General features: G+C 37.1%; 1 long non-coding RNA gene across 2 annotated transcripts in view; it reads right to left on the reverse strand.

Annotated features, from left to right (window-relative positions):
• LOC105378469 (uncharacterized) overlaps positions 1-27,984 on the reverse strand; it is a 39,631-nt gene that overhangs the window by 8,954 nt on the left and 2,693 nt on the right. For both annotated transcript variants that reach the window (XR_007062381.1, XR_007062382.1), the window contains exons 2-5: positions 16,946-17,055; positions 6,139-6,334; positions 5,392-5,499; positions 2,604-2,656 (exon numbers count right to left, since the gene is read on the reverse strand). This is a non-coding gene — a long non-coding RNA (uncharacterized LOC105378469). The remainder of the gene's footprint in view (positions 1-2,603; positions 2,657-5,391; positions 5,500-6,138; positions 6,335-16,945; positions 17,056-27,984) is intronic.

Consider the following 27,984-nt stretch of genomic DNA (forward strand, 5'->3'; position numbering starts at 1 on the left):
AGAATCAAGCCCTTATTAACAGCAGCAGTAACCCACAGTGACATACCATTATATTGCTTTTTATTCTTTTTCTGCCTCACTTCCCCTTCTCCCTCACTCTGGGTTCTTGGGATGACTTCCTAAGTAAACTGTCTGCAAATACGTCCTTGTCCCTAACTTCTCTTTTCATGGGAACTTAACCTAAGAAAATACACCATTTGAGAACTGAGCCTAACTGCATTCAAAATCAACAGTTTACAATCTCAGGTATACAGTAACCATTTTACTGTGTTCTACAAACACAGTTATTTTAATCTCAAGCCTTCATCTGCTAGGATTGGGAAAATGGAGTTTGATGGGAAAATTGAACCACAGTCTGTCTTTTTAGAGTGCTTCTGGTATTTCAAATGACTTGAATATGTACTGCTCAGGAATTGACAAATGTGAATTTTTATTCTTCTATTCATTGGTCTGCACAGATTGACGGTGCTCTGCTGGCAAAATTTGTCTATCAATCCTCTCTAATGTTTCCCTGCCAATGTTGGGTTAATGGGATTATCTCTACTGCAACTAGGACACACCAGGGATATAGGAATTTCCTGAAGACTTTCTGTGGTCTAATCTGCCTTATATTACAGGACGCACTTTTCAAGAGCTGTTTGTGAGAAAGGCAAAAGCTCCTTTTTCTTCAATCCATCAGTGTCTTTCCTTATGTTACTTTTCTGCCTGCTTCACTGGCTAAGCAAATCTGTTTTTCGTCTAAAATGGCAAGGTCCTTTTTACTCTATGTTTCTCCCCATTATTTCACTGAGATTCTGAAGGCTTTGTTTCTGAAAGGGTTTATAGGCTTTTAGAAACCAAAGCCAGGGGGCTCTGCACATTTTCTATTTTGTATCCCTCCTCTGAGGCAATAAATAAAAAAAAGAAAAAAAGAGGAATAATGGGAAAAATACATACAAACATAGGTAAAAATCTAAAAGAATGTATATGTGAAACACTCATTCGTGTTTTATTTGTTGTATCTTTATTGGAACCCAATCAATCAGAGAGAAAACAAAAAAGTAATTATTCACTATTTCTACCAAACCTGTCTGTCTGTCACTATTCCAAATACAAGTGTATTCCAGTTAAAAAAAAAAAAAAGTTATGCATGCCCATGCAAAGGCACACAAGTATGTGCAAAACTTTGTGTCTGTGTTGAGGAGGAAATTGAAGCACACCTTTCACATGTAGCCCTTCAGACTCCATCTAGATAATCACAAAGCAACCTATTCATTCAGAGAAATCATCAATTTTGTGTTTATTCCAATATATATTCTGTTACCTTTATTTTTACTTTTCAAACTTCTTTTAGAATGATGTACACAAATTACTTCTTCTTTATTTGATCTTCTATCTAGCACTTATTTTCCTCTCTGCCAAATTTTCTTTGCACCTGACAAAGCTATTTTCATCACGGGATGAATCCTGGGAGATGCCTGAAACATTATAAATTCCAGCTTGTGCAGAATTCCAGGTGGTTCTCTTTTGTGGAACTATAAGATGGGATCTCCAACGATTTTGTCTATTTTTACATTCATCTTTATGTGTTTTTTAGATGGCTGACCTCACCATTTATTTAGCTGACTTGGAGCATTGTGGCATTATCTATATGTGATATTTTTAATAAGCTTTGATGAAAAAATAAACAGTGCAAATCTTATAACATCCGAAGGTAAAAGAAACCCTGAGAGGAAATTTAACTGTGCTATTACTCCTGTTGTACTCCTTTACTGAAGGCCCAATTATGAGTGTAGAAAAGATGAAACAGCACCCAATCAATGTTAACATACAAGTATCTCATTACATATAGGACCTTAAGAATCAGAATCATCATGGCAAGATTATGAGAAAGGGCCAGGTAATTATTACTGAATTCAAAATCTTTTAAAGCATTAACTGTACCTTGCAAAGCATTGATAAAATTAGATGAGAAATCATAGTGATACAACAATTAGCACCACTTCAACATTACTCTGTGTGGTAGGTGTTCAAAGCATATATAGGGTTGTTTGGCTTTGCCTTGTTTGTTGTTTTTCTGAATGAAAGCAGTTTGCTGCACAGAAGAAAAAAATGAATGCTATTTGAATTGCAAATTTCTGCTGCAGCCATTAGTTTCCCCCTAATATTTTTAATATTTTCGAGGGTAAATTAAAATTTGGACTGTTTAAGCATTTCCAGTTGAAATACATTGTTCTTAGTCATCCCCTGGAAACTTAGTCATCCCCTGGAAACACAGTAAACAAGATCTTCATAATCTCTGCTCTAGAGTATGTAGTAACCAAATATGGGGGAGGGAGGGGAGAGTAGAAAATTATTGCTAGATTTTATTACTGAATGCTCTTTTGCCACCATCTACTATTTCTCTCCTTAATATCTGTATACTTAAATACATAATAAATCTGACCACTTGTCATTCTGCTTTTACCATTGGGTTAGGATCTGTGAAGTGGAACAGAACCTAGTGCAGTCTATAAGCCTGGTATTTTCAGGAACAAGTTTTCCAAAAGGTACTTTTTAAAATTTAGTACAAAGAACAAAGTAAGAAGGTAACATAAATATTATCAGTCTAATAAACTACTTACCAAGTTATCCAACTGAGTGATTGGTCACCAGAAAGAGCATTATCTTCTTTTGCCTGAAATAATGAAACAATTAAAATGGGAATTAATTAAAGTCCAATGAATGGTTAATAAAAACAACCTGCATTCACTTACTTTTAGATTATTCATCTGTGTTCTCAACGGCTATATAAAATATCAGTGTTTCTTTAACATTTATAGGAACCTTCCACACATACTGGGAAAAGTAGCAGCTTGAGTGAAGGACATACTGCCTTTTAATTACATGGTAATTTAATAAAGCTTCCAGGTATACACATGGTAAATACATTGTAATTATATATTCCTACTGATAGAAAGTGCTGCCCTGTAATTTCATTTCGTACTGTATGTTGGCTGGACAGCATGGAACATATTGAACGACCTGTCAAAGTAAATGTTCATTTATATGCAGCCAGTTAGGGACATCTATAATACAATATCCAAAGCACAAATGTTTAAGTTTTCCCTACATCCACTTTGGTGGATAAAAGGAGAGAGCTTTCTCTTTGTTTGATCATGGATAGTGGGAGGAAAAGGGCACTGCTATGTTTTGGAAAATGATCAGGACTCTAGAATTACCTCCCAGGCATTCGTGATATTTCCATTTATAATAACAATGATGCTTTTCACTTATAGATTTCTTTTCACCTGGAAATCTCAAAACACTTCACAGATACTTTCTCATTCTTGCAGCTTCACTATCAGGTATAGGGAAACAGGCAGAACATGCCATCTGGACTGTCTTTATAAGACAAGTCACCTGGGGTAGGACACAATAGGCCAGACCCTGATGGAGACAGTGTCTTTTCAACGCTGTTGAATTAACCAGGTGATGTAGACATTTTTTAATGGTTATTTTTGGATCAACACACTGAAAACAGAATAGTAAAGCATCCATCCAAAGTTATGTGAAATTTTATTTGTATAGAGTCACAGTGTTCTTAGGTATAGCCAGGGAGTATTTAAAACTCTTGAGAAACATTTAAGTATTTTTGGAAAACTGCTTGTTTTTGGGAATAAAATATACTAAAAAAAATATATAACCTGATGACAAAGACAACAGCTCACTATTAAAGTCCCTCTCTAAGTAGCTCGGAACAAAAAAGGGAAGTCAAATACTTTTATTGATAGAAAATAAATGAGACTTAGAAATAAGACTTAAGATAGTGGTAATAATTTTAAACACTTGGTGTACTTTCCAACATGAATTATATTAATTTTATAACACCAAGATGTCCTATTCCTATTAGATGGAATAATTACACACTCAGCATTTCAAAGTAATAGATGTGGAAATATTATTACATCCATTTTAAAGAAATTATAGTCCCCAGTTTGCTCCTGGGACCTCATGCAAAAGAAGTCACATTGGAGAACAGGAAATGCATCCCCTATTGCTTTACTGCAGAGATTGCCTCCTCTGCGTGCAAATGAAGCAATACAGACTAATGCCCATTATGAAAACTGTGTGAAAGGCGATCAAGAGCTAGAATGTAAAGAGCCATGAAAGTAATATCAAAGACACCAGGGTCATTTAAAGGGCACACCATTAATTAATTAATTTAAAAATGTGGTTTCTACTGTCATGGTTCATTGGTGATTGGCCCAAATATATTGTATCAAGTAAAGTGCTGGTTGGCTTTCTTATTTTACACCACATTACTGATAGACTTCCTACTGTTTCCACTAAGAATATGCAATTTGTAGGCACTAAGTTAATCAATGAGATAGCATGGTAAACTTATTAAGACTGTCTTCATTGGTAGCCCTAAATATTTCATCCTTATCTACTTATTTGTTCCATTATATCTTCACTTTTAATTATCTCATTTCTAATTCAAATCTTCTTCTCTCAGATTAACACTTTTATTTATGTATGCAGGTTAACCCTTGACAATCTTTTTTTTAAAGCTTCTTAATCCTTTAGTATTTAAAATACATACAAGATCACAGAAAATGGGAAAATGCAGAATCTTTTAATGTGCACAAATAGATTTTTGTTTGGTCTTAGACACCTTCTGCTAAGCACACATCTAACTGAAATAATTGGACTTTCTAATTATATGAATATACATCTAACTGAAATAATTGGACTTTCTAATTATATGAATATTTGTGAGTCATTTTAAACTTGAGATAAAAGCAATTGGATAAAATTTGGAGTAATATGCACCAGACTTCTAGTATTAAATATTGGGTAAATGAGTAATGTGTACCCATCTAGTTTGCATTTTTATTCACCATCTTTGGATACCAATGCATCAATTTGGATAAATTCTGCCTAAAGATTATAAAGATGTGGCAATGCACAGAGATACACTGATGATTTCCCAATGACTTAGAATCTACTGGGGCTTTGAATGAGCTCTAAATATGAGAGAACAGTACATTTCTTATGCTCCAATTCCTTTCCCAGGCTATGAAACTGTCAGTAAAGAGGCCAGTTAGAATAAATGCCAGTAGCCATTATTGATTTTAGAACATGATATAGATGAGATACCAACATTGGTTCTCTCTGTCCAAAGACAGGAATAGGAAAATCTAGGGAACTGAGCAAAACCATATTGGAACATTAAGAAAATAATGTGGGGGAGGGGCCAAGATGGCTGACTAGAAACAGCTGTGGTGGAGGCTCCCACAGAGAAGAATCAAAATGGCAAGTGAATCCCGCACCGGCAACTGAGGTATCAGGTTCTTTCATTAGGACTGACTAGGCAGTTGGCATGACCCGTGGAGAGCAAAGAAATAGCAGGGTGGTGCAACAACCTACCTGAGATCCACAGAGGGAAAGGGGAGCTCCTACTGGCAGCCAAGGGAGGCAGTGAGAGGTTGTGCTACCCTGTCAGGGCAGCTTGGCTTTTCCATAGATCTGTACAACCTGTGGATTAGGAGATCTCCCTTGTGAGTCCACACCACCAAGGCCTTGGGTCCCAAGCACAAAGCTGTGCCGATTCCCGGTAGCTGCTCTGCTGGATGCTCCCTAAGACTACCAAGTCCCCAGGGGGAGGGGTGTCTGCCATCACTATGCTGCCTGCTGCCTAAGATGACTGAGTTCCTGGGGAGAGGGGCAGCAGCCATCACTGCAGCTCCAGTCTGCCATGTTTTTCCTGCTGGTGCCAGGGGGACTGGACGGTTTGGACCCAGGAGGAATTCCCCACGAGCGCAGCACAGCAGCTGTGGGAGATCATGGCCACACTGCCTCCTTAGGCTGGACCCTGACCCATTCCTCCTCACCGGACAGGGCCTCCCTGCAGGGATTTCAGAACTCCAGCCAGGGGTTTAGGGACAAAACTCTGATCTCCATGGGACTGAGCCCCTTTAGGGAAGCGTGGCCATGGTCTCTACAGATCAGCAGACTTCGTCTTTCCCCCTGCTGGATCTGAGGAATCTGGGCAGCCCAAATGAGTGGAATTCCCCCCAGAACAGCACAACCCGTCCACCAAGGGGGAGCCAGAGTGCTTCATTAAGCGAGTCCTGAATCTCGTGCCCCTTAACTGGGTGAGAACCCCCAATGTACCTTACACAGTAGTGTTTCCACTGGCATCAGGTCAGTGCTCTGTGTGGACAGAGATCCCAGAGGAAGGAGCAGGCAGCCATCTGTGCTGTTCTGCAGCCTCCATGCGTGACACCTTCAAGTGCGGGAAGGACCAGGCAAATAGGGCCTGGAATGGAACCCCAGCCAACAGCAGCAGCCTTACAGAAGAGGGGCCTGACTGTTAAAAGAAAAACAAACAAACAGCAACAACAACAGCATCAACACAAAAGCCCCCACAAAAACCCCATTCAAAGGTCAGCAGCCTCAAAGATTGAAGCTAGGCAACCTCATGAAGATAAGAAAGAATCAACAAAAAAATGCTGAGAACCCAAAAAACCAGAGTGTTTCTTCTCCTCCAAATGACTGAAATACCTCTCCAGCAAGGGCACAGAAAAAGACAGAGGCTGAAATGAGCAAATTGACAGAAATGGGCTTCAGAAGATGGGTAATAACAAACTTTGCTGAGCTAAAGTTGCATGTTCTAACCCAATGTGAAGAAGCTAAGAACCATGATAAAACATTACAGGAGCTGTTACCATAATAGCCAGTTTAGAGAGGAAGCGATGTCCTGATGGAGCTGAAAAACACAACACAAGAACATCACAATGCAAACGCATGTATCAATAACTAAATAGACCAAGCAGAGGGAAGAATTTCAGAGCTTGAAGACTATCTCGCTGAAATAAGACAGGCAGACAAGATGATTAGAGAAAAAATAATGAAAAGGAATGAACTAAATCTCCAAGAACTATGGGATTATGTAAGAAGACCAAACCTATGACTGATTGGGGTACCTGAAAGAGACAGGGAGAATGGAATCAAGTTGGAAAACATACCAGGATATCATCCAGGAGAACTTCCCCAACCTAACAAAACAGGCCAACATTCAAATTCAGGAAACACAGAGAACCCCAGTAAAATACTCCATGAGAAGATCAACCCCAAGACACATAATCATCAGATTCTCCAAGGTCGAGATTAAGGAAAATAATGTTAAGGGGAGCAAGAGAGAAAGACCAGGGCACCTACAAAGGGAAGCCCATCAGACTAACAATGGACTTCTCAGCAGAAACCCTTTAAGCCAGAAGAGATTGGGGGCCAATATTCAACATTCTTAAAGAAAATAATTTCCAACCCAGAATTGCATGCCCAGCCAAACTAAGCTTCACAAATGAGGAAGAAATAAAATCCTTTTCAGACAAGCAAATGCCGAGGGAATCGTCACCACCAGGCCTGCCTTGCAAGAGCTCCTGAAAGAAGCACTAAATATGGAAGGGAAAAACCATTATCAGCCACTGCAAAACACACTGAAGTACAAAGACCAATAACACTATGAAGCAACAACATCAACAAGTCTGCAAAATAATCAGCAAGCATCTTGATGACAGGATAAAATTCACACATAACAATATTAATCTTACATGTAAATGGGCAAAATGCCCCAATTAAAAGACACAGAATCACAAGCTGGATAGTCAAGACCCGTTGGTATGCTGTATTCAAGAGACCCATCTCATGCGCAAGACACACATAGGCTTACAATAAAGGGATGAAGGAAAATTTACCAAGCACATGGAAAGCAGAAAAAGAGCAGAGGTTGCAATCCTAGTTTTTGACAAAACACACTTTAAGCCAACAAAGATCAAAAAAGACAAAGAAGGGCATTACTTAATGGTAAAGAGATGAATTCAACAAGAAGAGTACCTATCCTAAATGTATATGCACCCAATACAGAAGCACCCAGATTTATTAAAACAAGTTCTTAGAGACCTACAAAGAGACTTAGACTCTAACAAAATAATAGTGGGAGACTTTAACACTCCACTGTCAATATTAGAAAGATCAACAAGAAAAAAATATTAACAAGAATATTCACCGCTTGAACACAGCTCTGGAGCTCTGGATCAAGTGGACCTGATAGATATCCACAGAACTCTCCACCCAAAAACAACAGAATATACATTCTTCTCAGGACCACATGGCACTTATCTAAAATCAATCACATAATTGGAAGTAAAACACTTCTCAGCAAATGCAAAAGAACTGAAATTGTAACAGTCTGTCAGACCACAGTGCAATCAAATTACAACTCAAGATCAAGGAACTCACTCAAAACCACACAACTACATGGAATTGAACAACCTGCTCCTAAATGATTTCTGTGTAAATAATGAAATTAAGGCAGAAATCAAAAAGTTATTTGAAACCAAAAAGAACAAAGAAACAATGTACCAGAATCTCTGGGATGCAGCTAAAGCAGTGTTAAGAGGGAAATTTATAGCACTAAATATCCACACCAAAAAGCTAGAAAGATCTCAAATTAACATCCTAACATAACAACTAAAAGCACTAGAAATCCCAAAGCAAACAACCTCAAAAGCTAGCAGAAGACAAGAAATAACTAAGATCAGAGTGGAACTGAAGGAGACAGAGACACGAAAAAACTTTCAAAAAATCAGTGAATCCAGGAGGTGTTTTTTTGAAAAGAAATTAATAAATACACTGCTAGCTAGACTAATAAAGAAGAAAAGAGAGAGGAATCAAATAGACACAATAAAAAATGATAAAGGGGATATCACTGCTGACCCCACAGAAATACAAACAACCATCTGAGAATACTATAAATGGCTCTATGCAAATAAACTAGAAAATCTAGAAGAAATGGCTATGCAAATAAACTAGAAAATCTAGAAGAAATGGATAAATTCCTAGACACATACGCCCTCCCAAGACTAAACCAGGAAGAAGTTGAATCCCTGAATAGACCAATAACAAGTTCTGAAATTGAGGCAGTAATAAATAGCCTACCAACCATAAAAAGACCAGGACCAGACATTTACAGCTGAATTCTACCAGAGGTACAAAGAGGAGCTGGTACCATTTCTTCTGAAACTATTACAAACAATTGAAAAGGAAGGACTTCCCCCTAACTCATGTTATGAGGCCAGCATCATCCTGATACCAAAACCTGGCAGAGATACTACAAAAAAAGAAAACTTCAGGCCAATATCCCTGATGGACATCTATGCAAAAATCCACAGTAAAATACTGGCAAACCAAATACAGCAGCACAACAAAAAGCTTATCCAGCACCATCAAGTTGGCTTTATCCCCAGGATGCAAGCCTGGTTCAACATATGCAAATGAATAAACGTAATTCATCACATAAACAGAACTGAAGACAAAAACCACATGATTACCTCAATAGATCCAGAAAAGGTTTTCATAAAATTCAACATCCCTCTATGTTAAAAACTCTCAATAAACTAGGTATTGACGAAACATATCTCAAAATATTAACAGCCATTTATGACAAACCTGCAACAGATATACTGAATGGGCAAAAGATGGAAGCATTCCCCTTGAAAACTGGCACAAGATAAGGATGCCATGTCTCACCACTCTTATTCAACATAGTGTTGGAAGTTCTGGCCAGGGCAATTCGGCAAAAGAAAGAAATAAAGAGTATTCAAATAAGAAGAGAGGAAGTCAAACTGTCTGTTTGCAGACTACATGATCCTATATCTAGAAAACCCCATTGTCTCAGCCCAAAAGCTCCTTAATCTGATAAGGAAATTCAGCAAAGTCCCATGATACAAAATCAATGTGCAAAAGTCACAAGCATTCCTATACACCAACAATGGACAAGCAGAGAGGCAAATCATGAATGAACTCTCATTCACAATTGCTACAAAGAGAATAAAATACCTAGGAATATAGCTAACAAAGGAAGTGAAGGACCTCTTCAAGGAGAACTACAAACCACTGCTCAAGGAAATCAGAGAGAACACAAACAAATGGAAAAATATCCCATGCTCATGGATAGGAAGAATCAATATTTTGAAAATGGCCATATGGCCCAAAGTAATTTATAGATTCAGTGCTATTCCCATCAAACTACCATTGACATTCTTCATAGAATTAGGAAAAAAACTACTTTAAAATTCACATGGGACCAAAAAGAGCCCATAGAGCCAACACAATCCTAAGCCAAAAGAACAAAGTTAGAGGCATCTCGCTACCCAATGTCTATACTACAAGTCTGCAGTAACCAAAACAGCATGGTACTGGTACAAACACAGACACAGAGACCAATGGAACAGTAGAGAGATCTCAGAAATAAGACTGCACATCTACAGCCATCTGATCTTTGACAAACCTGATAAAAGCAAGCAATGAGGAAAGGATTCCCTATTTAATAAATGGTGCTGGGTAAACAGGCTAGCCATATGCAGAAAATTGAAACTGGATCCCTTCCTTACACCTTGTACAAAAATTAACTCAACATGGATTAAAGACTTAAATGTAAAACCCAAACTATAAAAACCCTAGAAGAAAATCTAGGCAATCCTATTCAAGACATAGGCACAGGCAAAGATTTCATGATGAAAACACCCAAAGCAATTGCAACAAAAGCAAAATTTGACAAATGGGATCTGATTAAACAAAAGAGCTTCTGCACAGCAAAAGAAACCATTGTCAGAGTGAACAGACATCCTGCAGAATGGGAGAAAATTTTTGCAATCTATCCATCTGACAAAAGTCTAATATCCAGAATCTACAAGGAACTTAAACAAATTTACAAGAAACAACCAACCAAATCAAAAAATGGCCAAAGAACATGAACAGACAGTTCTCAAAAGAAGACATTTAGTGGCTAACAAACATGAGAAAAAGGCTCAACATCACTGATCATTAAAGAAATGCAAATCGAAACCACAATGAGATGACATCTGATGCCATTCAGAATGATGATTATTAAAAAGTCAAGAAACAACAGATGCTGGTGAGGCTGTGGAGAAATAGGAATGCTTTTACACTGTCGGTGGTAATGTAAATTAGTTCAACCATTGTGGAAGACTGGCAATTCCTTAAAGAGCTAGAACCAGAAGTACCATTTGACCCAGCAATCCCATTACTAGGTATAAACCCAAAGGAATGTAAATCATTCTATTATAAAGATACACGCACATGTTATGTTCATTGCAACACTTTTACAATAGTAAAGACATAGAATCAACCCAAATGTCCATTGATGATAGACTGGATTAAAACAAATGTGGTACATAGATACCATGGAATACTATGCAGCCATAAAAAGGAACAAGATCATGTCCTTTGCAGGGATATGGATGCAGCTGGAAGCCATTATCCTCAGCAAACTAACACAGGACCAGAAAACCAAACACCGCATGTTTTCACTCATAAGTGGGGGCTGAACAATGAGAACACATGGACACGGGGAGGGGAACAATACACACTGGGGCCTGTCGGTGGGGCAGGGAGAGGCAGAACATCAGGATAAATAGCTAATGCAGCTGGGCTTAATACCTAGGTGATGGGTTGATAGGTGCAGCAAACCACCATGGCACAGATTTACCTATGTAACAAACTTGCATGTCTTGCACATGTATCCTGGACCTTAAAATAAAATAAATAAAATTTAAAAAGAGAGAAGAATGTGGATACATAAAGGGTCTGAGAAATGAGGAGCCATGGAAAAATAACATGAAGTGTCAAAGAGATCAAATAGTGTTCCTCTACTTTTCAGATTTGTGTGAGGACTAGAGGGGGCATAATAATTAGTATGAGTCACATGAAAAATATAAAAATGAAATATTCTAAAAATAAAATATGGGTGGTGCATTAGTCCATTCTCATACTGCTATAAAGAACTACTTGAGACTGGGTAATTTATGAAGAAAAGAACTTTACTTACAGTTCCACAGGCTGTACAGGAAGCCTGGTTGTGAGGCCTTAGGAAACGTACAATCATGGCAGAAGGTGAAGGGGAATTATGCACGTTTTGCCACAGTAGAGCAGGAGAGAGAAAGGAAACTGGGAGGTGCCACACTTTTAAACAACCAGATCTCCTGGGGACTCATTCACTCTCAGAAGAACAGCAAGGGGGAAATTCGCCCCCATGATCCAGTCACCTCCCGCCAAGACTTTCCTCCAATTTGATATGAGATTTGGGTGAACACACAAATCCAAACCGTATCAGGTGGGTAGTAGGGAGTATTTGGGACAACAGCCTGGGCTGCACAAGAAGGATCCAGGCCCGGGTGCAGTGGCTCACGCCTGTAATCCCAAGCACTTTGGGAAACCGAAGTGGGAGGATCAGTGGAGCTCAGTTGTTTGAGAACATCCTGGGCAACATAGCAGGACCTCATGTCTACTGAAAATAAAATACCTAGCCCGGAATAGTCATTCCTGCCTGTGGTCCCAGCTACTTGGGAGGCTGAGGTGGGTGGATCTCTTGAGCCTAGTAGGTGGAGGCTGCAGTGGGTGGTGACAGTCAGGCTGCACTCCAGCCTGGGTGACAGAGGAGACTCTGTCTCAAAGAAAAAAGGATCCACCTTTACATAATCAGTTAGGATTGACTTTGAGTCTATCTCTGCAATTTTTTCTTTCTCTACATCCTGAGGTAATCCTTCCCATCATAATCCCACATTTCAGAGGGCTTCCTGATCAGCCCTGTTTAGCCTGGACTCACCTAAGTGGGAATAAAGCAAGTCATCAGAGAACAACCCAACAAGCCACCAAAAACCTGCGGTTCCATCCAGGAATGACAATAGGTTCCACCAGCATTCTATACAAGTATGGGATTCCCGGCCACCTGTGCTGTCGCTGCTTCTGTACTTTTTGTTGCTTATGTGTTTAAAGGTCCAGCCTAGTGTCTCCCACCTCACTGATGGAGGCAGACCTGAGGCTTCCAACATGAGAGGCAAAGACTACCACATTGACACTCTGTAAATGACAGCAACTTTCTTTCGAGACTTCTTGATTGTCAGCTGCACAAAGGGCATTCATAGCGTGGTAAAATACAACATCATCTGACCTTCCAGAGAGGCACCATCATTACGGACAGTATTTTGTCACTGCCAGTCATGTCCAAATGGCCAGCATTGTCTGCACTGCCCAACACAGCGGCTGGATTGCTGGGAAGTCAATTGTGTGATATGTCAGGACAAGCAGTACTTATACATCTCTCAATTCATGCCAGAATATTGACATTTCTTTAAAGTTTAAAAATTTATAAAGCAATTCCAAGTGTGTTCTTCTTTACAGTCATAAAATCCCTAACAGATAGATAGGGTGGGAACAATTGTTATGCTTCAAGATCCAAGTTTTTAATCATTACACAGAGTATGTGGAAACAGATCTGATCCTGCAGAATGGATTCTTCTACTCTCCAGTTAGGCTGCATGTATCACGAAAACGATAATTATCCTTTTTCTTTTAATTTTACCTCTATATCATCCCATCAAACAGCTGTCCAAATAATAATTCTGGCTGATATTCAGTCTTGCATAAATTATATTTCTGCTAGTTTTATCTTCATGCATTTTTTTTCAAAATAAGTCATTATTTACCTGGAAAGCCCTGTCATCCCAGTCCTAAATCGCATTTGCAAGCTCACCTTCTACGTTATTCCTAATACCTATTCCTAATACCCCCTCAGTTCCACTCAGAATCTTAATTTGCCTCCTTCAATACCATGTTGGTTGGAACTCATATCACCTACCCCTGTCTACCATCTACAAGTGCTATTTATGTAACCTTCTCCATCCTTCACGAGATCATGAACATCCAGAAGCCAGGGAATTTAATGTTTGAGTCCTAGAGTCTAGCCAATAGCTGATACTTAGTAGATGCTCAATAAATTTTCGATGAATCAAATTCACGCCACTTTGTCATTGTTTTGAAAAAGAATCATAAACCAAAGAATTATTTACTAGATCATGATCCCCTTGAGATCAAAAAACCACTTTTCTGTTCTTTTCTTTTTTGTTGTTTGTTTTTTGATACAGAATCTCCATCTGTAGCACAGGTTGGAGTGCAGTGGCATGATCTCGGCGCACTGCAACCTCCACCTCCACCTCCTGGGTTCAAGTGATTCTCCTGCCTCAGACTCCCAAGTAGCTGGGATTACAGGCACACACCACCACGCCCAGCCAATTTTTGCACTTTACTGTAGTAGAGATGGGGTTTTGCCATATCGGCCAGTCTGGTCTCAGACTCCTGATCTCAAATGATCTGCCCGCCTCAGGCTCCCAAACTGCTGGGACTACAGCCTATAGATAGGTCTCATTAAATTTATTAATTATATAACTGCAGATGCACTGCAAACTTTTCATGATGTTTAAATTCCTATATAACCAGGTGAGTGTATCTGTGTATCAGCTCATTTTAAAAATAATATCGATGTTATATACTAAATAAAAGGGACAGGATTGAGGTGTTCTCACCCGGGAAGGACTGTGTCAGTGCAGAAAAATACCACCGTTTTTAAAAATGCCCTTTCTCATTGTCTGCCTGGCAGTGCACAGAAAGGACATCATTGATAAAAACTACCTTGATGGCTCAGCCTTCAAAATAAATTGCACTGCTCATTGCATCTATTGTTAGTCAACAATGCCTACCCCACACTTATTGGAAAACTTGTAATTATTTGAGCAGTAACAAGTTTAGGTAATACCAGGGGAGTCATAAATAGTATTTAGAGGTTTCTATAAAAGCTTTTTAATTTGTTACTCCACAGCGCATTTACCTTGTATACTATATGTCACAGAAAATACACTTCTAAGATACAGGGACTGGAGGCAAAACGTTATGCATATCATGGTGTATGTTATAAAAATGTACCTTTTCATCCTCACTAAGGCTGCTATAGAAAGCAAGAATCTATGGACGTTAAGGCCATAGTACACAATTCAGAAATATGTGCAGCTCTTCTGGGACTGTGGGTGGCCTACATGTGTTTTAGACAGTATGCAAGAGGTTTTGTACTAGACTTCAGTGACTAATTGAAACAATTCCATAGGCTCTGGTGAACATGAAAATCTGCCGTACTCTAACTGGAAAAAAAAAATCTACTGCTTTCTCTTTCCTTCTTCAAATCCTAATGACAGAATAATTAGTTTTGTGTTCTTAAGATCATGTTTTCCTTAGGGGACCACTCATGTTCTAACTTCCATAGTGGGAAAATAGAAACATAACAAAACAAAAATCTATTTAATATATTTTTGTAAATCATTAGAACTTTTTGTTAATAATAGCTGTATGGATTGCTGGATGTTTTTATTATACCAACCTGTGGGGTAAAAAGATTGTGAATCTTAAAGCCAAAGAGCTTTTTTGTCAATGTGTAAGGAGGATTGTTTTCAAACCCTCCAATTTACAGAGTCTAAAAAATCCCACACTCTTTCTTTAAATCCATCATTCAACCTATAACAGTCTTTCAATTGTTTGACCTTAACTCACTTGCCTTATAATCTAAGCTCCATGTTCTTTTCACTAGTATCTAATTATGCCAGTGTTTCCTTTATTCCATCCATTGTCTCATATATCATTATTTTTAGGTTAAAATCTAAGCAGTTCCTGAAGATTGGACTCAATTCCGTGGCACGTATAAAGTTTTTAGAGTCTACTGAAAAGGTAGTTTGACCCTTTGTGTCTAAAACTACATGCTTGTTAGTATATGCTTACTACTTGGATCCAAATTTTGCATATGTTTTAACATTGCTAACAACAGCTTGATTTACAAATGTTTCTTTTCCAATCTAAAATGATGGCAAATCTGATGCTTTGGTGAAAGATACTTAGAATATAGTGACAATTATATACAAGGATGTAATTAGAAGAGTAATTGGTAAATTCTTAAAAGTTGCAATTGTACCTCCTACTTCAGCTATATTGGATTTAAAGCATATTTATTTACATTCATCAAGCTTTTAAGATTTCAGACATGGCTTAAGAGTTCTCAGAAAGTTTGGAATGAGATTTCTACAGCCCTAACAGGAGATTTACTGAAAAATTACCTAATGTATGACTCAATTTGTTCCAAAAAGATGATAGCAAACAGAGCCATTTAAGTATATATTTTTTTCCTTTTAGTGCAGCTCTAAAAATGAGGGTTCAGATATTGGAATTCTGTTTACTATTCCCCCACATCATGTAAATAGCATATTATATATTTGAATTAGCATTCTTTTATTTTCAGTTAAAACTAAACATTACAAGGTTACATATATTCTATTTCCATGTGTGGGTGTGTGTGTTTACATGAACTGGATGCCCTCAGTGAGTGAGGTCCCTAGAACCATGGGTCTAGTGAATTTTGCACTAAAGATTTGTTTTTTCTAATAAATATTCCCTTAGTAAATATTATTCAATATTTGAAGACAGCGATAGGCAACATAAGGCCTCCAAACCAAATTTGACCATCCACCTGCTTCAGTACATAAAGTTTTATTGGGTTCACGCCTGTAATCCCCGCACTTTGGGAGGCCGAGGTGGGCGGATCACCTGAAGTCAAGGGTTCGAGACCAGCCTGGCCAACATAGTGAAACCCCGTCTCTACTAAAATACAAAAAACTTAGCTGGCATGGTAGTGGGTGCCTGTAATCCCAGCTACTTGGGAGGCAGAGGCAGGGAGAATTGTTTGAACCCGGGAAGCAGAGGTTGCAGTGATCCAAGATCGTGCCACTGCACTCCAGCCTGGGTGACAGAGCGAGACTCCATCTCAAAAAAAAAAGAAAAAAAAAAAAAGAAGTTTTTATTGGAACACAGCCATGTTTATTTGCTTGCACACTATGGAATGTTTTATCCTATAATGGCAAAGTTACATAGCTGCAACAAAAACTGTATGGCCCACACAGCATAAAATATTTACTATCTGACTTCATCTAGAAAGTTTGCCAACCCCTGGTTTAAGTAATTTCATCTAAAGTAGGAGCACCTGTCTCCAAAAGTACCATTATTTTTGTCAAATATTTATAAATACCACCAAAGTCTTCAGATGGTTGGTGCTGGATAATGGAGTACTTTCTGCTCCTCTTCTGATCATCTTCTCATACTTCCCAGTGCAGAGTGAAAGGGAAGAAGACGGGAATTCTGAGAAAGAAGTAGGATAAAGAGTAGAGGATCAGTCAGTCTTTCCTTGGCTGCCTTACAATCAGACAATTTTTTTCTTTCATTTTTTGCCACTGTAGCTTTTCAAACATATACATTTCCACAATGGTCTTTAGACTAATTGCAAGAGGTAGCTTTCCTCACAATTATTTTAATAAAAGTGTATGGGACTGCTGTGTTTTACACTGGCATTTGCAATTTACCCCTGACCCTCAAAAGGTATAACAGCATCTGTTTAAGAATCATGTGATACTTGTGAAACCACATTCCTTTCTTCCCCTTCTGGACTTGTTAATTTCCAAGAAGACCGACACTGTCTTCACTTGAATTTATTCTTGTTTCAAAGGTATATGATTCCATGTATACAAAAAGTCTTTCTTTTTAGGAATTCAATTATATAAAATGCCCACTTTTCAACCCTATCTTTTTTCCAAGTTGAAAATTGTGTTTGAAGTGAAACATTTTAACATAGAGACTAGCTCGCTCACTTCCACTCATGAAGTTTGATGATATAAGATAAACAAAGATAGGTAACATTCTATGCATCACTGTTTTATTTTCTTACATCAGAGTGAATTAATTTCTACATTTAAAAGAATGAAAGAATGAAAGGCCTTGTAATAAAGATGTTTTTCCTCTGATTCCATGTGCAAACTGATTCAGTCATGTTCCCTTTGACCTCCGCCTCCTATGAGGGTTGTCAATGAGCTTGATGCTACATCTGTGGAGTCAGCTGCTCATAATAAAAATTACAGCCATTAATGCAATGGTTTTAAAATGAAAATAGTTCACAGAAGAGGAACATTTTAGTAAAAATATCCTAAGTCTGGAAATGTGTCCTTTTATTTCTTTCAACAATTATACATTAGACACACTTTTAGAATATAATTAGAATTTCATTGTATTATGTTTAATCGTCTCATCGTTGAACATGCAACATAAAAATATAGTAAAAGTTACAAATCCGGAAGGCTGACTGTTAGGATAATCAAGAAAATGAGACAAAAACTAAAGAGATTAAAGAGATTGGGCCAGATAGATCATTACATTAAGAGCCTCCCACTATTACCGTCCTAAACAAACCGTATATTTTGGTTAAAATTAATTGATTCATATTCTCTGAGATTTGGTTCTTCTTTGAACATTTTGTTCCTATCTTGTTTCATTCGAAAGGATTTTAGCATCATGTCTGTCCTAATAAACAAAACTGGATGCAATATCTTTCTTTTCTGAAACCCTATAGTTGTCCATTTCTTTCACATGAAAATTTATATATACATATATATCAAACTTAATATCCACCTAAAATATCTATGTCTATCCCAGCTTGTTGGGCTTGCATGCTAGAGACCATCACTGTCATAATACCTTACGCACACGCACCACATCCCCACTATCTGGGGTTCATTCCTTTCCTTTGATTTTTGTCCTTGATTCTTTACTCATTAATCCTCACTAATAAAAATAAGAATCTCCTCTTCAGCATGCAGTGTCTAGGCCATAATGCAGTTTGAATGAAGCAATGCCAGAACCAGCAGAACCATTAAATTCATTCATATATCTGCTCTCTGACAGCATTTCTCCTAAGCACATCCAAGACTCTCCATCACGACTTGCAGCCTGATGCCCTGCTCCCTCCCCAGGGAGGTGGAGTTCAAGTCCAGCAGGCATTGGGAGGGCAGGCATCTGTAATTCCAGGTCATCTTTCAATCCTCAGTGCAGCAGAGGAATTGCTCTCAGGAATTAGTACAGCCCCAATGGTCCTTAATGCTCATAGCTACTTGGACATATGGAAAGCAGATGCAGTAGAGGCGTGGGTTCCAGAAAAATATAGATTTTAGACTTGCAAATAGGCATCTAGAACATTTTTTTGAGACATGGCCTTACTCTGTCGCCCAGGCTGAAGTGTAGTGGCATGATCTTGCCTCATTGAAGCCTTGACCTCCTGGGCCCAAGTGATCCTCCTGCCTCAGCTTCCAGAATAGCTTGAACTACAGGCACACATCACCCAGCTAATTTTCATATATATATTTTTTTTTTGTAGAGATAGATAGGGTCTTGTTATGTTGTCCAGGCTGATCTCAAACTCCTGGCCTCAAGTGATCCTCCTGCCTCAGCTTCCAGAATAGCTTGAACTACAGGCACACATCACCCAGCTAATTTTCATATATTTTTTTTTTTTTGTAGAGATAGATAGGGTCTTGTTATGTTGTCCAGGCTGATCTCAAACTCCTGGCCTCAAGTGATCCTCCTGCCTTAGCCTCCCAAAGTGTTGGGTTTATAGGTGTGAGCCACAACACCCAGCCAAGAACTTTCACTACCCTGAAGAAAACTGTCAGGTTTCTAGAAATTGAAATTTCATGTGCCACAGTCATAGGCCTGGCAATGGTTTGAATGCACAGTAGGTCCTTAGCAACAAAGAGTTAAAGTAGTGACTGGAAACAAAAACTCAGAATGACTGTTCAGGGCACCTAAGTCAGGATTCAGCAAGAATGAATAAACATTCATGGAAAATACATTCACTCTTTCGTTTCCAAATATATATTGAATATATACTATGTCCCTGATATTCTTCTTGGGCAGCTGGCAAAGCAATGAACAAAATGAAAAGGGTCTTCATCCACAGACAGCTTACATTCTAATGGAAAAGACAACTACAATAATTAATTGAAAAAAAATACATCAGATAATTTTAGATACTGATGAATGCAAGGAAGATAATGAAGCTATGGGCTGGAGGAGTGACTGGGGAGGGGCTACATAGGTAAGGTGTTCAGAAAAGGCTTGGCCCATTAGGGAGTGATATTTGAAATGAAACCTGTCTAATGAGGAGCCAGAGATTTGAAGAGCCAGAGGAAAGGGCATCTATACTAAGCACTAAGGAGAGAATGAGCTGGCGTCATGAAAGATGTACACTACCGAAGCTGCATGAGGCCAGGCCTTGGATGAGGGCCGGTGCATGTTGTCTTCTCAACGGTGAGGATTTAGGAATTTATTCTAAGAGTTGTAGGAATCCAGTGACAAGTTGTCAAAGGGGAATGACACAACCAGATTTTCATTTTCAAAATATCCCTCTGTTACTGCAGTGTATCCTGATTTGGGAAAGTTAAGAGAGGAAAATTGATGACCAGTTAAAAGGCCACTACTGTAAATCAGGTGAGAACTGATAGTGATATGTAGAAGTGACAGTGGAGGTGAAGAAATGTGAACAAATTAAAGGCATATTTGAGGGACAGAACTGATCAGTTTCTCTGAGAAAGTGAAAAATAAAGGGCAGAAAGTAGTTAAGTATAATTGTCTATGTTTTGGAGTAAATAAAGAGGGCAGACTGTAGCTCCATTTATGTAGACAGGAGAGACTGGAGTAAGATGTTTCTGTGGGAAATTGGGGGACATATCAAATTTGAGATTTTTAGTGTGTATCTTGCTTAGTTCTTCAATCTTCATTTTGATGTCTAAATCCAAGCTTAAGGGAGAGTTCATGACTTTAGATTCTAATCTGAGAGTCATCAGAGTATTTCCGCTCTGGAACTGAATGAGGTACTTAAAGACAGACTATATATTATGTCTATATTAAAATATATATAAATGAGGTACTTAAAGACATACATATATATGTCTATATATAAATATATATAAATGAGGCATTTAAAGACATATGTCTATATATAAATATATATATATAAATGAGGTACTTAAAGACATATATATGTCTATATATAAATATATATATAAATGAAGTACTTAATGACATCTATACATCTATATATAAATATATATAAATGAGGTGCTTGAAGACATATATGTATACATATATATGTAAAGACATATATGTGTGTATATATAAAGTTGAGTCTTAAAGACATCTATATACATAAAGATATATGTGTGCATGTGTGTGTGTATATATTTATATATATGTCTTTATATAAGAAGATTCAACTTCTCAGTACTCAAAGAACAAGTTGAGAAGGAGCAGCTGTGAAAAGACACTGAGAAGCAAGAGATACCTAAGAACTAAGTGAGCATGATCTCCTACAATCTAAGTTTTAGAAGAGAGAGAGAGCAAGAGAGAGAAGGAGAGTGAGTCAAATGCTACAGAAAACTGTTTAAAACGCTGCTGCTGAGACTTAAAGCAAGATAAATACAGAAAGAAATGACGATTTAATTTGACCATTGAAAGGAGCAGTTTAGATGGGAGTTGGGACAGAATGGAGCAAATTAAAGAGTGGATGGAAAATAAAGAAGATGAATCAAAAGTAGTATAGACTTGTTAGAAGATGTCAACTCTTTTTAGATCATTTTCACAGAGTCAAAAAAATTAATTTACCCCCTCCTCAGGCAAAAAGAACAAAAAAGGCAAGCAAGCTCAGGAAAAGACAAACCATAAATGTTAGAGCTGATGTTGGCATCTAGGTGGTGTCTGGGACCACTAAACCCTTCTTGATTGGGGGCTAAAGGATAAACAGCATGTTAGAGGAGGAGACTTAATATGATAATATGTGAATTTTTCTTGTAAAAATGCAACACCTTATTGATAATCCAGAGAGGCCCTTGCCTTTGCCACTTATGGGAAGCTACTTGAGCTGTATACTGTCAGTGACAGACACAAGATAAAGCCTTTAACATTACATTCAAGAGAAAAATCATGGAGGGTGAAATTACATAATCCTTAACAAAAATGTCTTTGTCCAAACGAACAACATAAGAGGCATAAGAGGGTGTAGCAGATTTCAAAATCACCTGCTCAGTTGTTTTATGCATTATTTTGTTGAAGCAACAGTGTAAGACCCAAATTGAGAAAGTCTCTACAATCAGACTTTTGGTTTTATAGACGCAATACAGTTTACCACTGCCTTATCTTTATAATGCAAAAACCTCTTTGTAGACTACAGCCACAAACATTATGGGTGTGAGAGTGAAATAATGGCAATTCAAGAAGAAGATACAAACTGACAAATTTAGGTACTGCAAAAAAGTAGGGAAGAATCAAAGGAATTATAGACAATGACTGTAATGTGCAGTAATACAATTTACTATACTGGATTCTGCCAAGGGAGATTCGTGTGTGAAACCAGCAAATTGCCTGCAAAAGACTATAACTTGAGTTGAGCTTTTAAGTAGATTATGACTAAATCTGAATTCTAGAGAGAAGAATAAATTTACTTTAAAAAGTACCTGGATCACAAAAAATATGTGAGAAATAAACAGAATTTATGAACTTGTTTAGTATGGAAGGCCATTTTTCATATAATAAGTGCAATAAAAAGACTAATTTTCCAAAATATTCCTTAGGAATTTATTATTTTCTGGGTCTTTTAAGGAGGGTAAATCTGCTTTGTGTCTGTTAAAGAATTATGAATTAGTGTATACATTATCTTCTCACGAGTCATCAGTCTGTTCCACAAGTAGAATCTTTGATTTGGTGTTATGGATTGAGAAGCTGATTGGAACCACATAGAACACTGAAGAATCGATTGGTGAGGCTGCCTCTGTGGTCAACAGAGAGGACAGGGGTGCTGTTTCTCTGCTGATTGGAGCACACGTTTTTAAATACTTCTTTATGCCTTTATTGATCATGAATATGATATCTGGTGATAAAGATTATGATAATGGTATTGAACTGCTCTCCTTTCAGCAAGGAAAAGATTAATTCCAGATTGATTTAAAAATAATATATTCTTGCAGGAAAGCTTATCTTTGACTTAAAACACACTAAAATTTACTGTATTGCTACATTTTTTTTCCCAGATAAGCCTTTTGACGGAACTTTCTATAGAGAAATCAACAAGTTCATTTGGAGAAACTTTCTTAACATAGTCACAATAATACTGGTAGGTGTCATGTCAATAGGTAACAATTACTCATCATTTACTCTATTCGTCTATGCATGTGCATAAACTTACTTAGTCTTTACAGATACCATCTGAAATGTGTGCCTTTTTTAGCTTTAATTTACACTTGAGTACACTGAGGTTTAAGTGGATTCAGCAATGAACCCAAATACATACAAATAATATAGAGCAGAGCTTACAATTTGGGATACTTTTTTACTTGAGAGCTTATACTTTTAAACTCATTTGTATACTGTGTAGCCATAACTGGACATTCAGGTTTTGGATTAAGATTGTGTGTGTTTGAATCCAAATTTAACCTTTTACTACTTCTGTGACTTTGAACAAAGTAACTAATCTTCTGGTCATGTAAGTCTTCTTATTGGTAGAGGATAATAAAAAGGAATAACATTCCATTAATCTCATAACTTTGGAGATGATTACATGAAATATATGTAAAATAAGTAATATATAAAAATATATGTAAAATATTAAATAATGTATGTAAAATATTAAAGGAAATAATATATGTAAAATATTTCATGGTACTTTAGGAAATGTCTGATGCACAATAGGTTTTAATCACAACACTAGTGCTAACAAAAATACTACCACATAATTTGGAAACATGCCTCAATCATCAAAAAATGAGGGTAAATCAGCAGAGACAATCATAAAAAGACATTTACAGATTTGGGAGTCAGTCAATAACATGAATTATGAAGCTCTCATTGGAACTATTTTGTATGGATCTACTCACTATTCTGCTAAAATAATTTTTAAAGTACAGAAGAGTTTCCCAAATTCAATGTTGTCACCATAGGCCTTTCTAGCTCGTAAGTGATTTCAGCCAAAACCTTTCTACAAGGATTACACTTGTCAGATGCAAAACATGTAGAGTAACGATGGCTTATTCTCTGAATACATTTTGAAGTGGACAAACATTGAAATTCTATGAAAGTAAAGTAAGTCTCCATTCAGAACTCAGCCTTAATCCAAATTAGTCAATTTGTTTGACCATGAAACCGTATAAAATTCCAACCCATTCTTTCTCTACAACCACAGTCTGACTAATTCTTAAAAATTTCCACTGTCAACAAGCATTAAATGAGTGGAGAAAAATTCAGGTTCTCTTTTGTCCTCTCATTCCCATCAAAAGTTTGAAGGTAACTGTCATCTGTCAAATTGATTTTGACTCATATGTATTCAGCGGTAACAAGAGAGGATGAATTCTCCACAGATACTTTATCAACTCACTATCAACTTTGGAAAGCAGAGGAGGATTAGACTTGGGGGTCAATTTCACAGGCTAGATTTCCTTATCTAAAAAGAGATGATTAAAAAAGTATATTCCTAAAGGGTCACACTAGACAAAGTACTAAACTCTCTATAGAAGTTCCTAATAGAAATAGATTAATCATGTATTTATCTAGTGTTGATATAGTATCTATTATGCTAATCAATTGCAGTGAGTGAATTTTGAAGGTAAAGAGAGAGATAAGTTCCCACACAAAATACGAAATATAACAAAATACAATTGCCCACATTGAGAAATACTCGCACAAAGAAATTTTTAAAGGGAAACCATTAAAATGTACAAAGTAGTTTTATGGACAACAAGTTGAAAGTCTGAATATTATAGGTCCCTCTTGAAGTTTCACAATGGTTATTGACAAATAAAATGTTCTTGATAGGTCCAAAATTAAAATAATCTACTTAAATTTTTTTTTAAATACAGCCATTTCAAAATTGAGTTACCATGGAATCATTTTTTTTTCTCTCCACATGACCTAGATTAACATTCTGTGAAATGCAAATTTTATAAAATGTGTTTTAGGAAACGGGGTTGGTCAACAAAGACATTAAGGCAAAAAGGGAGATACACAAATAACACCTCTGTTGCATGCATTTATTGCCATAAGAAAGTGTGAAAAGGCACTCAATGTGCCATTGAAGAAGGATTGCAATTTTGATGGGAGAAAGTGACAGGGCTGAGAGAAAGGATTTTCTTTCCAGATGAAGAGAACAGTGCAAGTTAGGAAGAGTTAGGAGTGACAGAAATAAGCATAGAGCATAATACGAAAACTACCAATCTTCCATTTTGTTTTGCATGCAGAATACTCGTTCATGACTACTGAATGGTTGGGCTAGAAAGGTAGGTTGGCAGGGGAGTAGATATAAAATGAAATAGACCTTGAATGCTAACCAAAAGAGTTATAGCTAAATTATAAAATAAAACATTAATAGCAAAAATAAGTATTATTATACTTATAAAAATAAAATCTGTTCAAAGAAGTTTTTAAAAATAAAACATAAGGAAGAAAATCACTTATAAATTAATCACTGAAAGATTATTTAAAACAATGTATTGTTATTTTCTCTTTCAAAAGTTATAAAATATAGGCTGGGCACGGTGACTCATGCCTGTACTCCCAGCACTTTGGGAGTCTGAGGCGGAAGAATCGCTTGAACCTGGAAGGCAGAGGTTGCAGTGAGCAGAGATCATGCCACTGCATTCCAGCCTGGGTGACAGAGCAAGAACATTTCTCAAAAAAAAAAAAAAAAGGTATAAAATATAAAAACGTAGAGATAGAGAATTATAAAATGTCGTGTAGTCGTTACTCAGATTTACATAATTTATTCGTTGATATATTCTACAAATATTTTGAGCACTTATTAAGTACCACACATTCTTAGATATGGGTGATACAACAGTGACTAAGACAAATTTCCCAACTCTCATGGAATTTATATTCTAGTTGGAGAGAGAGGTAGTAAACAAACATGTTAACAAATAAGTATATAATGTGAAGTAGTGAAGTATATGAAATGAACAGCAAAGAATCCACACATGTATGGGATTACGGTGGGAGAGAACAACAGGAGACAAGCCAATAATACAATCTAGTGTCAGATCATAATGAGAACTATTAGGAGCAATAAAATAGGATAAGGAGATTGAAGGAGGTTGGTGTTGAGGGAGAAGATTGAATTATTTTTAATATGGTGGCCATGAAAGGCCTTTCTAAAGAGGCTGCATTTTAGGTCAGAGACATGAATAAAGTGAGGAAGCAAACTGTTCACTCCTCTGTTGATGATAATTTAGCTTAATTTTAATTTTTTGCTACTATAAAATGATAAAGTAATTTTTGTCTCTGGTATACACATTGAAGTGTTTCTTTAGGGTGTATGATGAGGAACAGGATTACAGGGCTGCCCATCTTCAAGTATGTTAGATATTGTGTTGCATATTGACCTCCAAAATGATTGTACATCCATCCAGGAGCATATAAACTTTGAGGGAGGAAAATCTTCCACTCTAACCAGAGGATCTGTTGTCCCAAGAGAGTGGAGAAAACTCCAATTATATATTTTTTCCTCTTTGTCTTCCCACAGGCCAGAAACCTGAAGCTTCAATTACTATGATCTTCGCTACCCCTAATGTTGACACGGTCATGGGTAGTATATGGCAGCATAGAGTAACCAATGCTCCAGCTTTCTGGCCAGAGGACAGAAAAAGAAAGCACTAGGGAACTGGAAAATACCTGGGAGATTTTAGGGAGAGCTCAGGAATACAAACCCATAAATTTGTTTGTAAACCAACGGGCTCTAAATGATCTAAATATACTAACTAAAAAAGTGAGATGGACAACAAAGATTTTTAAAAATGGATTCAGCCAAGTGCTATCTATGATATACTCATGCCAAATGCAATGATAGAGTTAGATTAAAGTTAAAGGGTTGGAAAAACATTTCCCATACAAATGCTAATCAAAAGAAAGCTAGAATAGCTATATTAGTATCAGACAAAGTAGATTTCAGAGCAAAGAAAATTACCAGAATAGAGACATTACATAACAATAAAAGGGTAAATCCACCAAGAAGCCATAACAACCCTACATGTACATGAATATAACAAAAGAGCTTCAGAACATGAAGGAAAAACTGAAAAAACTGAATGGAGAAGTAGAAAAATCCACAATTATATCAGTGGATTTATTTATCAGTCATAGATAAACTAGCGGACAGAATATTGGAAAAGATACAAAGGGACTGAATACCACCAATAATCAATGGCTTCTAATTGATATTTACATAATTATCCACCCCAAGCAGGAAAATATTCATTATTTTCAAGTGTATATCCAACACTCACCAAATAAGGATATCCTGATTCATAAAACAAATCTTAACCACATAAAAGAATTGATATCATACAAAATGTGTTCCCTGAATGCTGTGGTTTTCCCACCCAAACTCATGCTGAAACTTGATTCTCAGTGTGGTGTTGTTGGGAGTTGGGGCCTAGTGGGAGGTGTTTGAGTCTCAGAGGTGATCCTTCATGAGTAGATTTATACCCTCCTATGGGAGTGAAATTTTGCTCTCCCAGGACTGGACTAGTTCCTAGAGAGTGAACTGTTATAAAAGCAAGATGGACTTCCTACACTGTCTCTTCCTCCCTTGCCATGTGATCTCTTTTCCCATGCCAGTTTTTGACCCAACATGTGGCCCTAGGCTCTTCAGCTTCCCAGCCTGTAGAATCCTGTGCTAAATAAATGCATATAGAAAATAAACTACACAGTCTCAGGTATTCTGTTATAGACACACTAAACAGACTAACACACTGACCATAACTGAATTAAACTATACATAAATAATAGAAAGATAGGTAAATTTCCAAACTCTTGAAAATTAAACAATACATTTTCAAATAGTCCATGGGTCAAAGAGAAGATCCTAAGAGAAATTGGAAAATATTTTCAAGAGAAATAAAATGAAAACACAACGTATCAAAATTTGTGAGATGCTGCAGGAGCAGTGTTTAGTGGAAAATGTATAGGATTAAATGTTTATTTTAGAAAGAATAAAAATAATACAGTCATTTTGAAAGAGAGTTTGTCAATTTCTTGTCAAGTTAAACAGACACTCTATTGCCCAGAAATTCCACCCCACCCAAAAGAAACAAAACATGTGCATACAAAGACTGAATGCAAATGTATATAGCAGCTGCATTAATAATAGTCAAACCTGGAAACATTTATATGGTTCATTCAACAACATAAATAAAACAATATAAG

This window comes from Homo sapiens, chromosome 10, assembly GCF_000001405.40.
Source record: "Homo sapiens chromosome 10, GRCh38.p14 Primary Assembly".
NCBI classification, from domain to species: domain Eukaryota; kingdom Metazoa; phylum Chordata; class Mammalia; order Primates; family Hominidae; genus Homo; species Homo sapiens.